The sequence below is a fragment of the Homo sapiens genome, chromosome 6 (genome assembly GCF_000001405.40).
Source record: "Homo sapiens chromosome 6, GRCh38.p14 Primary Assembly".
Classification (NCBI taxonomy): Eukaryota; Metazoa; Chordata; class Mammalia; order Primates; family Hominidae; genus Homo; species Homo sapiens.
In genome coordinates, this window is record NC_000006.12 from 154,038,782 (window position 1) to 154,059,231 (window position 20,450).

Below are 20,450 nucleotides of genomic sequence, written 5' to 3' on the forward strand. Positions count from 1 at the left end.
CTGCACAAAAGTTTATTTGTTTCTCATTTCTTTTTCAGAAAATAAAGGATCGCTGTTGTTCCCAACAGGTTTGTAGGGAAGAAAATTGGAGAAACATTATTACCTTTTCTTAGATGTTGGCAACGGAGGCAACAAGGACTGCAAAAGAAAATTGTGTGTCCCCCATTCCTAAATAATCAAAATTGGCAGTAGGGATGGAAGAGCATTGGGGTTTTAGGGCTGTTAGGGTTTCATCAAGCCAATGTATTCCCTGCCAGATTTTAAGGAGAAAAAGGCGCTGGAAAATTGAGTGATGTTAGCCCCCTTTCTTATTTTTCACTGCTACCAAAGACTAACTCTATCTCTCTCCCCAACCCTTCTCTCCATCTCCCTCCTTTAGATGTGTTTGCACAGAAGAGTGCCCAGTGAAGAGACCTACTCCTTGGATCGCTTTGCGCAAAATCCACCCCTTTTCCCTCCTCCCTCCCTTCCAGCCTCCGAATCCCGCATGGCCCACGCTCCCCTCCTGCAGCGGTGCGGGGCAGGTGATGAGCCTCTGTGAACTACTAAGGTGGGAGGGGGCTATACGCAGAGGAGAATGTCAGATGCTCAGCTCGGTCCCCTCCGCCTGACGCTCCTCTCTGTCTCAGCCAGGACTGGTTTCTGTAAGAAACAGCAGGAGCTGTGGCAGCGGCGAAAGGAAGCGGCTGAGGCGCTTGGAACCCGAAAAGTCTCGGTGCTCCTGGCTACCTCGCACAGCGGTGCCCGCCCGGCCGTCAGTACCATGGACAGCAGCGCTGCCCCCACGAACGCCAGCAATTGCACTGATGCCTTGGCGTACTCAAGTTGCTCCCCAGCACCCAGCCCCGGTTCCTGGGTCAACTTGTCCCACTTAGATGGCAACCTGTCCGACCCATGCGGTCCGAACCGCACCGACCTGGGCGGGAGAGACAGCCTGTGCCCTCCGACCGGCAGTCCCTCCATGATCACGGCCATCACGATCATGGCCCTCTACTCCATCGTGTGCGTGGTGGGGCTCTTCGGAAACTTCCTGGTCATGTATGTGATTGTCAGGTAAGGAAAGCGCCAGGGCTCCGAGCGGAGGGTTCAGCGGCTTAAGGGGGTACAAAGAGACACCTAACTCCCAAGGCTCAATGTTGGGCGGGAGGATGAAAGAGGGGAGGTAAACTGGGGGGACTCTGGAGGAGACCACGGACAGTGATTGTTATTTCTATGAGAAAACCTACTTTTCTGTTTTTTCTTCAACTGATAAAGAAAGAATTCAAAATTTCAGGAGCAGAGAAGTTGCTTTGGTAAAAGCTACAAATGTCTAGGGGTGGGGGGCGGAGGGAAGCTATAGCATAGACTTGGAGCGCTTCCTTATACTGAGCAAAGAGGGCTCTTGGCAGAGTCCTACACTCAGTCCCTCTGCAGGAGCTATGGAAAGAGTAAGTTGTGAATAATGGGAGAGAAATTCTAGTTAGCTTTCCCAAATTTGGTTGGGGCCGGTGTGTGTGTGTGTGGCGGGGGGAGCAGTCTCAAGTCTTCTCAATTGTTTTGAGATGGACCTTGGCAACTTTCCTACTCCTGCTGGTTTAGTACTTCCCTGTACCACAACCCCACCCTTTCTTCTCCCCTGCCATAGCAGCCCTTACCCAACTCTTCCTTTCATCCTGAGGCAACACTAGGTAGAGGAAGTTTTCCTAGCATCTCTCCATGACAGTTTTCCTCTGTTATAACAAACATGACAAATGTGTTGCCTAGACCAGTTTGCCGTTAGTAGCTTCAGATCGCCTAAGTCACAAACTGCATCTGGAATGGGTAGGTTGGTTCAGGAGAACCGCAGGACATGGCTGTATTTCATTGCCTTCACAAGTTGGAGCTAATTAGGAGTGACCAAAAGCATCATAATTCCACATTAGAAACTGCAGAAACTCTTATACAGGAAGTTGTGATGGGTGCTCTAGACAAAGTGTTCTTATCAAGTAAAATTAATTCAAAAGAGTTGTAGTCCACTTTCTGTTTACCCAGATGTTCCCGGTATATTTGGCAGAGTGTGGAAGCTCTCAGTATTGACTGAGATTGATATTGATTGTGTTGGTGTTGATGTGTATATTCAAATACTACATGTGAATGTGAAATGCCATATATCTGTTTTTGTTAAAGAAGATAAATATTTTAACACTTTAAAATAGTTCCTAATTCGAGGGTTTTTTTTTTTAACCAGGGGTATGTGTATATAGGGAACATGGCATTTTCATATTTAGTTACAATGTTTGTTTCACCTATTCAGCAAGTATTGCAGGTTTCAGCGGAGCTCTTAAATCATTTAAGAATTGCTCTCTCCAGTATGCTTTCATTACCCAGGTGCTGCAAATTGCTTATAAGCAATTCTTTCTACTCATCTGTCTGATTTCTTTAATTAATGATTTTTAAAGAGTAAAGCTAATTTCCCTGATCTTTTGATGAGGAATAAGATAAGTATTGTCTGTAAGAAAAGAGCACCATCTATTGAGAGGAAGGCTAACAACAGAAGGAAAAATGCAAGAAGATCGATGGAAGTATTTATTTTTAAAAACATTTACTTTAAGTAATTCAATACAATGATTCACATTGAAGATTAAAAACCAAGTTTAATTTTGCAGTTATGACAATAAAAGTTATAATTAAAGGCCTGTTTTGTGAAGGGAAAATATGTTTCTCATTTTTTCTAAAAGAAATTCATAGAATCATAAACTAATCAAGCTAGAAGGGACTCTAGAGATTATCTATGCTAAGTAAATAAACTGAGGCACAGAAAATGTAAATTATTTTCTCTAAGAACAGATAGTTCATTAATTCAGTGCCACTAAATCTCTCCTAGCTAACATATTTTTTTTTTTTATTGTGCTGGCAAATCATGATTTGAGTTAATTCGACTATTAGGTTGACAGAGTGGGTTGATATAGCAATAATAACTTGGGAATAACAAATTATCCCCAAATTCTATGTGAAATCCTGAAGGAAAAAAGCATGAAACAAAAATACCAAAGCATCTAGGAATCCTGCCATCTGAAACATAATATTTTATTCCCTTTTATTGCTTCTTGATATTTTCCTTCCTCATTTTTCTACCCTTTAGTTTATGCTTTGCAATACAGAGAGAGCCAATAGAGTGGCAACTGGCTGTGAAATGAGCAGATTGGTCTTATTCCAGTGTAGAAGAGGTTGCTGGTTGGGTGAGTTAGTTTTAAAGGCATTACCTCTGGCCTCTTGTTGACTTGGAGAAACATGGTGACGGTGCATCTTACTGAGAACATGTTATTATGCTTTATTCTCGGTACTGAAAGTTCTTACAAAATGCAGTACTATTTGAAAGGTCATCCCAAACACCCACCTGTGGCAGGCTGGGTTTTAATCGCAGGGTTAGGTAACCCTCTTGGAATGTGACTGTGAAACAGAAAAATGGGCAAGTTAGTGACAGATGAAGCGACAGGGAAAGCATCTGGGGACTGAAGCAAGTATGTCTATTTAGCTGAGAACATTTAACTGACTGTCTCCAGGCTGCGGTGTTTAAACTACAAAATGATCAGTTCAGGGATGTATTGTCCTTGCTAAAATGCTGGATATAATGTTGCATCTATTAAGTATTGAGGAGAAATGTTCACTTCCTTCCCTATTTAAAATTCAACAAATGCTATTGAATGATCAAGTAGTTGCAGTTTTCTGATTATATTAAGGTAATATTTATTAAAATGTTTTAGTACATTGAGTGAATCATGAGGCTCAGATGACTATGGCAACAACAACAACAAAAATAACTGCTAACATGGACGCTGTGATTAACTCTTTGGTTCTGTTTGTAACACCATCATCATCATCCCCTCATCAACAACATTATTAAGTAGTATAACTTAAATGAGATTCTTAAACAGGGCTACTCTAAGGAATACAAGGGAGGAAAGGAGAAACTGTAATATGTTCTAAAGATTTTAAGTCCAGATGTTAAGTGATAAAAATGTTATCAGTAACCATCACCTGAAAGCTTTTTTGGTTTTAAAGAAAAATAATGCTTGGAGAATAACCTTATGAAAATTATCACAAAGATTTTAGAAAATGTGATGAAAATACTACAAACAGTAGCAATCACTTAAAATGGGATGATAGTATTTCATTGTCAAGAACTGTAAAGAAAAAAAATCAAAACAAAAAGTAACAGCCACCAGAGATGTTTCACTTTTGGGAAAATATTTAATAACTGAACCAGACTATAGAATTACCCATAACTGCAAAAACTAATATAATCCCAGATGTGTTTATGTTGGGAAATTCTTTTTCCAAGGTTTGTTCATGTAGCTATGAACATGGTATGTACAGACACTGTTGAAAAGTGGAGGGCTAGAAACTTTGAGATTTCTGTGGGCTGCGTAAACCATCCTTCCAGTAAATTTCCAATGAAGAGTGCCAAGTAATAGTACCTTCATTTTTAAGATTATTTCTTAATGTGGTTAGATAAATTCTCAATATAACTAATTATCAGAGAAGAGCATTTAAATACGTGCAAGATGTTATTGTCATTTCTCCTTCCTAACAAGTATTTCTGATTTTAGAAAAAGTCCTGTGAGCTTATACTTGTTCTATATACTAAATATTTGATTCAGGTTTAAATTTAAAAATGATCAGTTATACTTGATTGAAACAGAAGTATAAGCTTTTAAACTTAATCTAGATTCAGGTAGCTACAAATTAGTGAACAATAATGTTTTATCTAATATAAGGATATATATGTGTGTGTGTGTATATATATATATATATAAATTCACACACACACATACATATTTGAATCAATTTGAATGCATGTCACTAAATATGATCATTAGTAATTTTCATAAAATAAAAAGATAATAGTTTATTTACTCAAATATTAATAAAATTCACTTTTCTAAAACCCACAAAATATCCTAATTAGAGGATGGATTTAAAGTGAAAAACACTAAATAAAATTCAGTTCTCAATTTAATGGCTTACATTAAAAAATACTAACTTAATTGCATGCCTTTCACTTAGTAAGGGAGAGCTCCTGGTACCTATTACAATTTGAACTTTAAGTGCTATTTTCCATATAGAAACTAATTCAGAGGAGAACAACTCTTCTTCTGTGTCTTCTAAACACACTAAATTGCTTTTCCTTTCCTTGGTTGTAAGCTGTGTCTTTGTCATTTGCATGACATTACCAATCAACGAGTTTCCTATATTCTTCTCTCTCTCTTTTCTTTCTTGAAAGAATGACCTATCTGATATTTTATGAAACATCTCCAAAGATAAAAAATATATAATTACAGAACAATTCTTCTCTTAAAGGATGGATGGATAGATAGATAGAGAGAGAGAGAGAGAGATAGACAGACTGAAACAGTTGAAGTCTCTTCTCTGCTCCTAATACCCTCCTGTCACTGAGACTACCACTATCATAAATTTAGTGGTGAGTTATTCACATGCATGTTTTTAAACATTTACTACATATGGAAACACATATATATATAGTAAACATATGGAAACACACATACATAGTAAATGTTTTTGTATGTTCTCATAACTTTTTATAATTGGTACCATATCATATGTTTAAGCTTAAACACATAATTTCCCTAATTACTCCAAGTTGTTATAGTTCCAGTAGGCCAATGCTAGAAAATAGATGTCAAATAAAACCAACAAACATAAAAGAAAACAAACAAACATTCGGGCCATTAACTCTTCTGAGTACTTTTAACTGATCTTATTTTTTTTTAAATGTGTTAAAAATTATTTGTAAAAATTTATTTGCAAGCATTTTTCTAAGCTAATTGTTTTAATTAATATTTAGGTATAATACTCAGAAAAAAACCTCAGCTACTGCTGCAAAAAAAATAAATCGGTTAATAAATTTAAATAAAGCATAATTTCTCTACTGCTAAGAAGAAAATACAAATAATTAATTGGTGTCTGTAGGTATTCAAATAATAAATGCTGACAATATTTACTTTGAGATTTTGAACATCTAATAGGATCTCTTACATATAAAAGTTGAAAATATTATTTCTCCTAGGATTCCGTTTAAGGCAGTAGTTGAAACAGATATTTTAAGGTCAGATGCAAGAAAAAATAAGCTCATTTTGAGAAATAACATACAACTATATGAGATTTAAAAATGTACTAGTGGTGGTCAGGCACTGTAGCTCTTACTTACAATGCCAGCGCTTTGGGAGGCTGAGGCAGGTGGATCACCTGAGGTCAGGAGTTTGAGACCAGTCTGGGCAACATGGTGAAATGCTGTGTCTACTAAAAATAAAAAAAATTAGCCAGACTGGGTGGCGCATGCTTGTAATCCCAACTACTGGGGAGGCTGAGGCACAAGAATTTCTTGTACCCAGAGGCAAAGGCTGCAGCGAGCCGAGATCGCACCACTGCACTCCAGCCTGTGCAACACAGTGGGACTCCGACTCAAACAAAAAAAATAAATTAAAAAAAAAAGTACTAGGGGTAAATACCAAGACTAAATGGTGCATGTCATTTTAAAATACAAGAATTCCAAGTCTTTAGTCCTCACTAAGTTTAATGTTTATCTGACTGAAATAATTATCTGTGACAGCAGTCTTCAAACTTGTTTTTAGATGTAGACACTTATTTCAAGAACTTGGGACCCAATATATAAAACAGATCACAGAACAACTGTCCAGATGTAACCACATGTTGAGACCAAGAGCACTGCTCACCTTGCACCCCCATGCCACCCACCAGTGCTGTCCCCAAGGGACCACCATAGAATTTCTAGGGCTCCACCAGGCAAAATTTGAAAGCAATGGCTTTCACGTTGTTTCATATCCTTCTCGTGCCCACCTCATGTCCTTCACCTCGCCTTCTACCTCAGCCGTTGATATGGCAGTCAGTTTCCAGACATAACTGAGTAACACTTCACCTTGGCTGCATCTAAATCACTTACTTTCTGCCCTAGGGCTTCTCTACTGGAGTAATTGCCCTCCATAGGAATCAGCCTGGCACTCACAAAGGCACTATTTGGAAGTTCAGGAAAGTTCCCTTGACCAGGAAATGGAAGCCTGTGGAAAAATGCTGCCCTTGCTCCCCTCTCTCCTGAGGTGTACAATTCTGAGGTGCCAACTACAAGGCACATCAGAAGGCCCCGCCCACATTGTGACCGTCTCAAAAACATGCCTCGTTTTCCTCTTCCCTGGTTTACTCTTCTAGTTTCCCACTCCTTGCCAAGCAACCACTTTTCAAAATGGTTCACCTTCACACAAGGTCGTATCTCACACTCTGCTGAATATCCTTCCTGTTATTTTATAATTGGTGACTATACGTTAGCACAGTAAAATCTGTTTAATAAATAGAGCTCTTACAGACCTATCAATAAAGGTTTTCTCTTAACTATCAAAAACTCGTAAGAAAAATTCTGATAGGCAGCACCAGTTAGAACTACCAAGAGAGTTCAGAAGCTAAGCTTTTCCTTCCATTTTTGTTCCTGCCTTGGGATTTAGGAAAGGCTTTTTTGGGTAGGTTTGGCTGAATGGAGAGAGAGTGGGCACCAGTCATGTCCAGTGTTCAGTTTACTTCTTCTTGAGCTCAGGATAATAGGAGCAGAATTGTGTGTGCCATGTAAAGGAAATAAAGCCTCCTGTGCCTTCTGGCAAATTATCTGAGGGTATAAGAAAACAAACAAACAAAAAATCCTGCCACTCCCTTTTCCATTAATTTCATGTTATATAGTAACGTTAAGAGTATCTTGTGATTAATTGAGCTCAAGAAAATTTCAGTCTTCAAAAGTGAGCTGAAGCATCAAATGCAGGAAACGTCATATACAACAAGCATCATATACTGAGCTTACCAAGCAACTCCTTTCTTTACCCATCCTTTCTTGCCTCAGGTAACTTTTTTTCTTTCCCCATCAATTTCTCAGATACAAATTTAGAAAGGAAGAACAGCAAGGAAGAGAAACCTTGCCCTGGCTCAGGGCCCCAAGTGTCAGTTGTGGCTCGACTTCAAGGCACTCTGCGCCTCACTCTCCTTATCTGTAAAAAGGTGCGAATTGGACTAAAAAAATCTTAAACGCTTTCTAGTACTAAAATGTCCTATGGCAACTTCAATGACTATTAAGAGCATGTTTTTCCCAGCAATACAATCTGGAGGAAAAGAGGAATCATCCACAAAACTAAACAATCGTGGTTGCCATTCCATCACAGCCCTTTGGATTCTATATAAGCTCAAATAGGTTCTGTCAAAGGGAGAAAGAGTGAGTGTGCTCTGAACTGCCAGGTGTGGTGTTTATGATTAGGACAATAAGGGAAACAGAAAGTTACAGTCAAGCCTTTATTCATATGCTTCGAGAGTACAGGCAAGTGGTTAAGTGGGAAAAGGTGCAACCCCATCATGTTTCATTCCCCCCACCCCCACCCCACAGAAGCCACCAGGTGAGCATCACATGTTTGAGCAGAAATGCAGGAAGGAGAGGGAAAAGTCATCTTCTTACTGCACTGGGAGGCCCAAGCAAAAGGTCCTGCTGTTTTGTGTACCTGAGGGCCTGGGTGCAAGATGGGGAAAGACAAGGAATGAAAAACAGTGAGTCAGAGTATGTGCTGCCTCCTTAAGGGTTAGGAACGCATAACCTAAAAGCGTGACTGGCAAAGGTGGAGCGTGGGCAAAATTCTCTCTCTCTCTCTCTCTCTCTCTCTCTGTCTCTCATTCTCTGTTTAATTTTTAGGAGATGGTTTTAATATTTGCCTTTAGGTATTAGTCCTATCCTGGATGTTGTATTCCAAATCTGATGCAAAGAGGTTCCACCAAATCTAATCAAGTGAACTTTCGTAAACCAATGGATAGGGCTTTCCCATAAGATGAAGTGTGTGATGGGTTTAAATGAGAGAGAGATCATTCTGTTCTGGATATGTGTCTGTCCAGGCAAAAATGTTGTTAAGTACAATTTTTGTTTGTTTGTTTTTTGTTTGTTTTAAATAATATGTTAGCTTATGCACTGTATGTAAGTAGGTGTCTTCGTGTGTTCAGGCTGCTATAACAAAGTACCATAGCCTGGGTGGCTTACAAACTACAGAAATTTACTCTTACAGTGCTGGAGGCTTGAGGAGTTCATGATGAAAGCACCAGCAGATTCTGCATTTGCTGAGGACCTTCTTGCAGAGACAACTAACTTCTCCCCATTTCTCCACAAGGCAAAGAGGCAAGGAAGCTCTCTAGGGCCTCTTTCATAAGGGCATTAATAGTGTTCATAATGGCTCTGCTCTCATGACCTAATCACCTCCCAAAGGCCCCACCTCCAAATACCATCACACTGGGGAATAGGTTTTCAACATGTGAATTTGAGGGGAACACATTCAGTTTACAGTAGGTGTCCTAAGTGATTCAAATATTAACCACTCATATTCACTGAAAACCATTAGTGTGATTTAAATTAACGTTTACGTAAATTAGGCCAACCTGATTCCTTCACTATCTTCCAATATGCTTCATGTTTATCTCTTCTATACTGTTTCCTTTATTTTTCTTTCTCTCTGTTTTCCTGTAACGTATCTCTCATTCTTTTCCTATCAAAATGTTTCTTGTTCTTCAAGTATCAACTTAAATCCATCCTTTCTTACAGCCTCTCCAAAGTACTCCTACAACCAATTTCCCTGCAATATAACCCAAAATACATGCTACCATTGTTAAAAAAAAATTATGCATTTTCTCATGGCCTTATAAAATGTCACTTGATAAAACTTAAAGACTTGAACTATATCTATCTCTTTGTGTTTAGGTGAGAAATCCAACATTCAAAGTTGACCAACAGAACTGAATATCTTCAAAATACTGTACAATTCTAAGCTATTAGCAATTCAGATGTACCTCAAATTATTCAAGTATAAAATCTAATTTAAATAATTTTCTCAATTCACTTTGTTCATGCATATTTAGCTTTTATCACTTGAGTCATGAAAAGTGATCTGTACCATAGATACATATTAGCAAATCATAAATTCAAATACAAACACATACATGTCTATATATGCATATATTCCTGAGTTTACAAACTTTAAAAAGGGAATATATGGTTACTCTTATAATAAAAACTCAGAAAGTAAAATTTGAAGAAGTAAAAACATAAAAAGTTAATATAGTCAATTCCCATTATTCATGATAGTTATGGTCCATAAAGTCATTATGACTACAGAATTCGTGAGTACTGAAGCTTTGCTTCTAGGGGATATATAGGGCAGGTTCCTGTGAGCCTCTGATTATAAAATTTTCATCAGCTAATGCATTCGTAACCTTGTTTTATGTGTGTTTCTGTTTAAAGACGCTTTATTTAATATATAGCTGATTCACTAACGTTGAACTCATGGTTAACAGCACTATAAATCATGCCTGAACAAAGCTTCTGTAACACAAGTACTTTCCTCATAAGCCACATCACAGTCTTCTTGGCTTAGGGACACTAAGCAGAACTTCCACACTATGTTTGAGACCATTTTAAACAGTGAAGTCACCACCACCACCAACAACAACAACAAAAAAACACAGAAATGTGAAAAATGTGGCAATAAATAGATTGTGAAAAGGACACGTGTTTATAGTACAAGCTGAAAGAAGACAGCAGAGCATTGCCTTGTTTGACCTTACCTGGGAACCTGCACAGAGAGCAACTCAAATTTTTTGCTGCTCTATACATGTCCACACAGGTCCTCAAATGACTGCAAAAGCCAAGTATTATTTTGCGGGTAAATATTAATAGATTTTAGTGAAGAGGCCAATTTTCAAATACAGAATCCTCAAATAATGAGAATCAAATATATATAAAATGTTCCTCAAGGAAATATTTTTGAAACACTAGTAAAGAAGAAAATCAGGAAGCTATGTTCCAAATTAAATATGGTAGCAAATTCATGACATGATGACAAGTTGTATGTTTTATTATAATCAGGTAGAATCGTTTGAAAACAAAATGGATTCCCATATAACTCACTCATGAGTCACCAGATACCCAACCACATCACACAAATTTAAAATATATACAGCGCATTGATTGATTTGCATATGTTGAACCATCCTTGCATCCCAAGGATAAATCCCACTGGGTTACAAGGAGTGATTTTTCTAATGTGTTATTGAATTCTGTTTGCTAGTATTATGTTGAAGATTTTTGCATTAATATTCATCAGAGATATTGGCCTGTATTTTTCTTTTTTTGATATGTCTTTGGTTTTGGCATCAGGGTAATACTGGCCTCACAGAATGAGTTTGGATGTATTCCTTCCTCCTCTATTTCTTAGAATAGTTTGAGTAGGAATAGTATTAGTTCTTCTTCAAGTATTTGGTAGAATTCAGCAGTGTAGCCATCAGGTCCTGGGCTTTTCTTTACTGGAAGACTTTTTATTATGGCTTAGATCTCAGTACTTGTTATTGATCTATTCAGCTTTTGGTTTTCTTCCTGGTTCAATTTTGGTAGGTTGTATGTATATACTCAAAACAAAGGAAGTTAGTATATCAAAGAGATATCTGCACTCCTATGTTTGTTGCAGCAGCACTGTCTACAACAGCTAAGATTTGGAAGCAACCTAAGTGTCCATCAATAGATTAATGGATAAAGAAAATGTGGTACATAAACACAATGGTATACTACTATTCAGCCATTAAAAAGAATGAGATCCACTCATTTGCAACAACATGGATGGAACTAGAGATTATGCTGTTAAGTGAAATAAGCCAGGCACAGAAAGACAAACTTTGCATGTTCTTACTTATTTGTGTTATCTAAAAATCAAATCAATTGAATTCATAAACTTAGAGAGTAGAAGGATGGTGACCAGAGGCTGGAAAGGGTAGTGGGGGCTGATGGGGGGCTGGGAGGAGGTGGGGATTGCTAACAGGTACAAAAATATTAGAAAGAATAAATAAGACCTACTATCTGAAAGCACAAAAGGGTGACTATAATCAATAATAAGCTAATTGCACATTTTAAAATAACATAAAGAATGTAATTGGATTGTTACTCAAAGGATAAATGCTTGAGGGGATGGATACCTCATTCCTCATGACATGTTTATTTCACATTGTCTGCCTGTATCAAAACATTCCAAGTACCCCGTAAATATATACACCTACTACATAGCCACAAAAAACAAATATTTTTAAGATTAAAATATATATTAGCATGTTTTATTTTGCATATTGAAATAAAATTTTCAAAACTAAATTGATTCCTGTATATTTCTAAAATAGAAGTTTAAGTAAAATTGTGATTATGTAATATAAGTATGTGAACATCAAAATTATCCTTACAATGTAGGATTTCATTTATCTGAAGTCTTATGCTTTTTTCAGTAAAGCTCTAAAACATGGAAAGGAAACTTTTACCTAATAAGTAATAACCATGCTATAGCTATAAAATCACAACAATTACTTGATATTTACAATTAGCAAACTTTGGAAAAATTTATTAAGCCACAAAATCCTTACTCTAATTTTTGGTAAACAACTAAAAAGGGCTCTGCCTAAAATTGAATGGCTCTAGGACCGTGAATTAGCCTGCTCCCTCCAAACTGAGAATGGCGAAAATGCACAAGTAAACTAGACATTCCATCTGGAAAGTAAAATCCTATTTTATACCAAAATACTTTTATTAGCCAACATAAAATTTGGATCTAAATGATTCTGAGGTAAGACTCTCATCTCATTTTACTATAGTTAGATGCATATAAGACCCCTTCATTGCATGAAGAGTGATGGCTTTGCTCAGTCTTTCCTATAAGAGTTACAAAGTATTTATGCAACCAATAAGCATATGAGAAAAAGCTCAACATCACAGATCATTAGAGAAATGCAAATCAAAACTACAATGAGAACCATCTCATGCCAGTCAGAATGGCGATTATTAAAACATCAAGAAACAATAGATACTGGTGAGGCCATGGAGAAAGAGGAACGCTTTTACACTGTTGGTGGGAATGCAAATTAGTTCAACCATTGTGGAAGACAATGTGGCAATTCCTCAAGGATCTAGAACCAGAAATATCATTTGACCCAGCAATTCCATTACTGGGTATATACCAGAAGGAATATAAATCATTCTACTATAAAGACACATGCACACATATGTTTATTGTAGCACTGTTTACAATAGCAAAGACATGGAACCAACCCAAATGCCCATCAATGATAGGTTGGATAAAGAAAATATGTTACATATACACCATGGAATACTATGCAGCCATAAAAAAGAATAAGATCACGTCTTTTGCAGGGACATGGATGAAGCTGGAAGCCATCATCCTCAGCAAGCTGACACAGGAACAGAAAACCAAACACTGCATGTTCTCACTCATAAGTGGGAGTTGAACAATGAGAACACGTGGACACAGGGAGAGGAACAGCACACACTGGGCCCTGTCGGGGGTTGGGGGGCAAGGGGACAAGGAGCATTAGGACAAATAGCTAATGCATGAGGGGCTTAAAACCTAGATGACAATTGATAGGTGCAGCAAACCACCGTGGCACAAGTATACCTGTGTAACAAACCTGCATGTTCTGCATATGTATCTTGGAACTTAGAGTAAAATAAAATAAAATAGGTAGAAAGTAAATATTTCTGGTTTTTACAATCAGATAATCTCTGTCATAACTACTCAGTTCTGCTGTTGCAGCCTAGAGCAAGCCATAGACAACACATAGATGAATGGATATGACTGCATTTCAATAAAACTTTATATGGACACTGACATTTGAATTTCCATATAATTTTCACATGCCTCAAAACATTATTTTTCTTTTGATTTCTTTCAACCATTTAAAAATGTAAAATTGTTCCTAGCTGGAAGACCACAGAAAGAAGTGGTAGGCTGGGTTCTGCCCACAAGCTGTCATTTGCCAAACTCTGACACAGAACATCTTAAATAAAATTTTATTCTTGCAGTGGTCATGAAATAGGAACACATCATCTTCTTTAGAAAATTTGATTACATATTGTTTACTACATGAAGGCAAAACATTTTGTTAAAATAACCTAGTACTTAGTAGGTGTGTATATTTATGGGGTATGTATATACCCACAAAAATTAAAAATTAACAAAAACCTAGACCAACTCACAGTATTTTTCAACATCAGAAAATAGCAACACAAATATGAAGTTACCACAAACCAGAACAGTTGCCATAGATTGCTATGACAGAGCATATTGCTCTTCTGGAACTGAGGTTGAAGTTGTGCTATAATAATCACCACACAAAATTATCTCTATTTCACCCCAGGCCTCCATATCTAACCCCCAACCCTTTATTTGACTCAGACAATCAGCAAGGTTTATTACCACCCTTAGCCAGTGATTAAGGAGTAAGTGCTTAGAAAATAGCATTTCTGAAGAATTTATCTTTATTGGATATGCTTTGTGGTTATCTTAAGTAAGTGCAGTTTGCTAGGCTTGTCACAGTATTTTCGTCTTCAATCTTTTGGAAGCTTTCAGGAAAAATGGAAACTGTCATCTGCAAATTCATATTAACTTCTTGGCAAATATAAAATCTGTCTTCCAAGATACCTATGCCTGCACACCTGCCACCCTGCACCCACTGCATGTGACCAGATAGTGAGTGGCAGCTTCAAACTCTATGCCATTTCAAACATAAAAGCTCATTGCTTGGATCTTTTTTCTTTTCTGTCTGACTTACATATTGCTCATTTAAAAAAAATGTTTTCTGCAGCTCTCAGAAGTTGCTTTGGAAAATGCTATTACTTATTCTTTAGAACTCAGACTGTCTAGCTGGGTAAAAAGGAGTGCTAGGGTAGGCCAAGGTATTCTAAGGATGCTTATAATCCCTTGACTTCTTGTCTACAGTTTTGTTCAATGATTTCCTTAAGACTCACTGAAATCTCCTCCCTGCCTGACTCTACATCTTTAATTTTGTCCCCATCCATCCATATCTAAATGACTGCCCTTTGATCTGCCATGCTCAGAGGAAACTTTCTCCCATGTACAGGAATTCTTTAGATTAGCCAGATGACCATCAGGAAAAAGTTCGCAAGAAGAGTTAAGTTAAAGGAGAGTTTAAACTGGGTGACATAGAGTCCACTGCAAAATTTTATAATTCCCAGACTCTCTTAAGCGAGAATTGGATCTAAATTCTAGCAAGGAACCCAGACAGGATAAAATGAATAATAATTGAGTCTCCTTCCAATTAACTCATGGAACATCAGAGCCATTATATAAATCCCCACAATATGCTTAGACATGTAGAAGAAGAGTACTTTCAGATCGTCTAGTCCAGTGATTCTGAATCCTGGTGGTACCTTAGAATTACCTGGAAAGCTTACACCGGTCTCGGTGGCTCACGCCTGTAATCTCAGCACTTTGGGAGGCCGAGGCCGGCGGATCACGAGGTCAGGAGATCGAGACCATCCTGGCTAACACGGTGAAACCCCGTCTCTACTAAAAATACAAAAAATTAGCCGGGCATGGCGGCATGCACCTGTAGTCCCAGCTACTCGGGAGGCTGGGGAAGGAGAATTGCGTGGACCCGGGAGGCGGAGCTTGTAGTGAGCTGAAATCGCGCCACTGCACTCCAGTCTGGTGACAGAGCGAGACTCCGTCTCAAAAAAAAAAAAAAAAAAAAAAAGGAAACCCGCCTAAGGTTAATTGAATCAGAATCTCCAGGGGCAGCTCCTGGGCATAAGTAAGTGTAAAAGTTCCCCTGGTGACTCTACCATGCAGCCAAGATCAAGAAGGACAGGTCTGGTCCAACCTATCCATTTTATGGATGAGAAAACTGAGTCCTGTTTGTGAAAAATATTTAACGGATCTGTCCTTATATTTTACTTCCCTGAACTTTAAGGGGTTATTTATAGAACAAGTAGTAAATTAAATTATCTTGCAGAAAAGCGAAAGCTCAGGATGTTTTGAAAATTTCTCTAAATTTGACCAATCATCTCTCTTCAGAGTAGGCATAGTGGAGTAGACAGAGTAGTAAACATGTAATGAAAGACATGTTTAGATAAATGCTTGAGAGGATGCATACCCCATTCTCTGTGATGTGATTACTATGCATTGCATGCCTGTATCAAAACATCTCATATACTTGATAAATATACACACCTAACACCTACTAGGTCGCCCACAAAAATTTAAATTAAAAAACTTGAAAAGCAGACATGTTTAGATGTCTGCCCCTTACTAGTGACTACACTAGACACCTAACCTACTTGAATCTCATTAGTTAAACCTTAATAAAGGAAAAATAGCCATATTCAACCTCACATGGGTTTTAGGTCCAAATAGATAAGATTTGGATAATAAAAAATATGTGGTCAACTCTAAAGTGCTCTGTAAAGCTTGGCTGGGCGCATTGGCTCATGCCTGTAATCCCAGCACTTTGGGAGGCTGTGGCGGGCAGATCACTTGAGGTCAGGACTTCAAGACCGGCCTGGCCATCATGGTGAAACCTCATCTCTACTAAAAATACAAAAATTATCCGGGCAACATGGCTTGTGCCTGTAATCCCAGCTACTTGGGAGGCTGAGGCAGGAGAATCGCTTGAACCTGAGAGGTGAAGGTTGCAGTGTGCCAAGATGGTGCCACTGCACTCCAGTCTGGGTGACAGAGTGAAACATCGTCTGAAAAAATTAATGAATAAACAAAAAAAAAAAAATAAAAGCTAGAGAGTTTTATTAGCTCCTAATTTTCTTCCCTCCCACTGCACTCACACCATCAGTATGCAACCTACCAACACTCACTCAGGGCTTTTGCCTTTCCCTAGGTCAGATATATTATCCATTATAATATTTCTAATTACAGTTTATCTTTCTAGACTCCTAAGTTCTGCAGAGAAGAAGCTAGGTTTTGCATGAGTATCACTGTTTCTTGTCATTCTTCTCTTCATTCCCATCAACTCCTTCTACATGCACTGGGTCATTCCAAAACCATCGTGTCAAGGACATGATGATGTGAAGAAAATTCTAAGGACAGGCAACTGCAACTCATTTGGTTCCCTACTGTTAAGTCTTTTTATATTGTCTAATAAAGTGAGTAGGGGAAAAATATGCAAACCAGTGATGTTCGAACAAAACAGCATTTTTGTTACTTAAATCTTGGTGTGAAAGAATCTCAAGCAGGATCTAAGTCTAAATGCTAACTGCATGTGACAAAACTCCTTTGTCCCCAGCAGCACTGTTCATTTGAATAAGAAGAAATAACTTATAACAATGGCATTCTCTGAACACCAGCTTTGAGAATTTAGGGATTTCTAATTTCATCCCTATAAAGAGTCATCCTGACCCCTGTTGAGTCTGATTCTCTAATCACAGTAAAATTGGTCAAATGATGGAGCTCTTTTCTTTTCTTTTCTTTTCTTTTTTCTTTTTCTTTTTGTTTTGAGACGGAGTCTTGCTCTGTCACCAGGCTGGAGTGCAGAGGTGCCAGCTCGGCTCACTGCAACCTCCGCCTCCCAGGTTTGAGTGATTCTTCTGCCTCAGCCTCCTGAGTAGCTGGGACTACAGGTGCTCACCACCATGCCCAGCTAATTTTTGTATTTTTAGTAGAGATGGGGTTTCACCACATTGGCCAGGATAGTCTTGATCTCTTGACCTCATAATCCGCCCGCCTCAGCCTCCCAAAGTGCTGGGATTACAGGCGTGAGCCAACGCGCCCGGCCTGATGGAGCTCTTTTCTGCATGAAGGACACATTAATGACGATTCTGTGGCTATTTCTAACACCTTCACGATGGATTTTTCCAGGACTTGCAATGCGATGTCTGTCAACTTCCTAACTCAGGACAGTAAACTCTATAAATAAAGCAAGCAGAGGATGCAGCAGAGAATGACAACCTGGAATCTTACGGTGCCCTTGAAAACTAAGACTCTTCCAAGTACAGAAGCTGTGGGAACAAGGAGATCAATGGAAGGGAAGGCCTCTTTGTTTCCGAGCATTTTTTCACCGAAATGCTGGGTTCAGTGCCAGTGAGAGGTTGAGCTTTTTCCGGGGGAGTATTAAATGTTAATTGAAAAACGTTGCCAGCAGTATAACCTGAACATCAGAGCCTCATTGTGCCTGCCAAGAAGAACAAGGGAAATTATTATCAACATTATAATTTCATTCTTACTCAGCCCCCATAAGCTCTGGAAAGAAAACCACATGGGCTGAATAAAATTAAATATGAGCATGTTAAAGATCCAAGGCCACTGAAATTGGTAGTCCTATTAAAAGCAGATAGCATTAATTGAAATCCTTCAAATAGTCTTTCCTTCTGATGACAAAAGGAAGCCTTTTCAACTTCCTTATAAAATAAATAAAACACATATCTAAGGACTAAAGATATTCTTTTTGTCCTTTTAATTTTATAGAACTTTACATTTTTCCCTAAATTGAGCAGTTTGAGTCTCATAACATTTTTGTGAGTCTAAACAGGGAAGACATTGAACAGACTCATTTTAAAGAAATAGACTAATTTTAAAGAATAAACATGAACTACGTTTGTTGAGCACTATGTACAAAGCACTCTCTTAGGAGTTTCAGATATCAGTGAGCAAAATAGACACAGTCTGACTTTTTCCCAAAGGTACAGTCCAGTGGATGAGAAAATTAAACAATTTTACCAGTTAATAAATGCCAAGAATAGGACTATAATAACTGACTTTGTGTTCTTTCCATCACAGTATCAGAAAAACACTGTTCTCAAGGTTTATTGCCATCAATTACTATAGCTCACCTTATTCCATCACCAAGCCCATCAATGTGATAACTTCTTAATTTAAGTCTTTATTCCATTTCTCAAATTTTGTTAAAGGTATTATTTATGTCTCAGAGGCAAGATAGTAGTGAGTGGAAAAGGCCTGCGTTCATTTTCATAAAAGAATGAAAAAAAGTGCTATTGACCATAATTTATAAGTATTTTTCTCAAAGTAGATATTGTAAAAATTTTACAAATAGTAAGGATATCGGCACAGAAGAGCAGAGTCCTGTATGAGTGGAATTTGTAGGAAGAAAATCTCAGGAGTCATTCCTTTCGGACATTTGTTACTCTCACTGTAATGGAACGATGACCAGTCTACTTATGAATACCCTGTCACACGAAGACAGGCAAGAGAAAAATCAAGCCGGAAGTCCAACCTGAAACTTTCACATTTTAAAAAGTTTTGTATCAGTTTTGTGATATTTAAGATGTAACTATCAAAAGAGAAATTGACACTATCTTTTAGAAAAGGGCCACTATTCTGAACAAAGAAGAAATTGTCTGCATATAAACAAATGCATCACATTTCCACAAAAGACTTTGGTATATTTGTCAATGCCACAAAGCATAACTTAAAACATATAAAGCACACCAGTGATCATTTCCACAGGAGTATTATTTTCTCAGCAATTTAGAAACTTAAAATAACAGCATATGAATGAAAGAATTAACATGCTTTCTACACACCCTTGCTTTTATGCATCTTTAAAAAAAATTGTATATAAAGATATATGCCTTCTGCTATATCAAAAAATTCTAACACTATTAAAAAGATGAAAAATGATGTTTGGTATAGCTCTCATGTTTTTATTCACACATTTGTTTGAAGTTAAGTTGATATTAAAACAGAATATATTGGGTCAGCATTCTAGTTGAAATAGATGAAGTTATAAAATTTAGCTGACCAAAACATTTTTGGAAAGATAATTGGTCAAAGAAGCCCTTTGAAAACAGTTGTGTTTTCAGAACAATCACAGGTCAGAATGCATCAATTATCTTTAGCCCACATGAGAAACATCTAGAAGCAATGTTAGTACAGTCAAAACAAAAAGTAACACTTTAGTAAATATGAATGCTTAATCTGGGCTCATATTCTAAGGACAAATAAACATGAACGTAGTAGAATATTGGTCCCTAGCAATGTGCCTTGGAGAATAAATTAGCACCCATTAAATTGGAAACCCATAGAAAGCATTATCATCATCACCATCTTCATTATCATCATCACCGTCTTCATTATCATCATCATCACTGACTTTTACTGAAAGTAACTACAGTTCAGATTCCATACTAACAATCCTTAAATACACTACATTAAAAAATTTTCATCTTTACACCAACCATTAAGGAAAGTATTAATATTTTCCAACTATTACAGACAGGAAAAATAGAATTCAGAAAATTTGTGTAATAAGCCCAAATTTGTCCAACTAGTAAATGATGGAAGTCAGATTTGAATTGAGAGCTACATTACCCTGAAACCTAAGTGCTTAAAAATTGTTTTATTCAATTGCATCAAGGAGAGGTTTTCAAACCAGTTATTGAGGGTTCATTTGGATGGCTGACAGGTATATTAAGGTAGCTTTTATATCTTACTTTCCAGAATTGTTCCCTAATTGGCAGCCTATTTTCCTTATTGATAGGCTCTACCTTGTGGAAATCGGAATGAAGGAAATGAGATGCCTGTCTCCTTGCAAGTCAAACCCTGCAGATTTTCCTTCATATTAGGCGG

At 37.6% G+C, this 20,450-nt stretch overlaps 1 protein-coding gene across 21 annotated transcripts in view, besides 1 other annotated feature; it reads left to right on the plus strand.

Annotated features, from left to right (window-relative positions):
- Positions 1–20,450, plus strand: part of OPRM1 (opioid receptor mu 1) — a 236,372-nt gene that overhangs the window by 28,286 nt on the left and 187,636 nt on the right. For 8 of the 21 annotated variants that reach the window (NM_001008503.3, NM_000914.5, NM_001145286.3 and 5 more), the window contains exon 1: positions 459–1,053. The exons of 2 other annotated variants lie outside the window; for them this stretch is intronic. In NM_001008503.3, coding sequence (NP_001008503.2) covers positions 764–1,053 — 290 coding nt within the window. In that variant the 5' untranslated portion in view covers positions 459–763. Of the gene's footprint in view, positions 1–320; positions 1,054–20,450 lie in introns of those variants that run through there. 11 more of the 21 variants (NR_104348.1, NR_104350.1, NR_104349.1 and 8 more) reach the window with 4 other exon arrangements.
- Positions 719–1,218: an enhancer, noted in NCBI's record as "H3K4me1 hESC enhancer chr6:154360635-154361134 (GRCh37/hg19 assembly coordinates)". NCBI's record gives its function as "activates a minimal SCP1, AML or CMV promoter by ChIP-STARR-seq in naive H9 embryonic stem cells {active_cell/tissue: H9 hESC(naive)}" and the evidence as "EXISTENCE:reporter gene assay evidence [ECO:0000049][PMID:30033119]".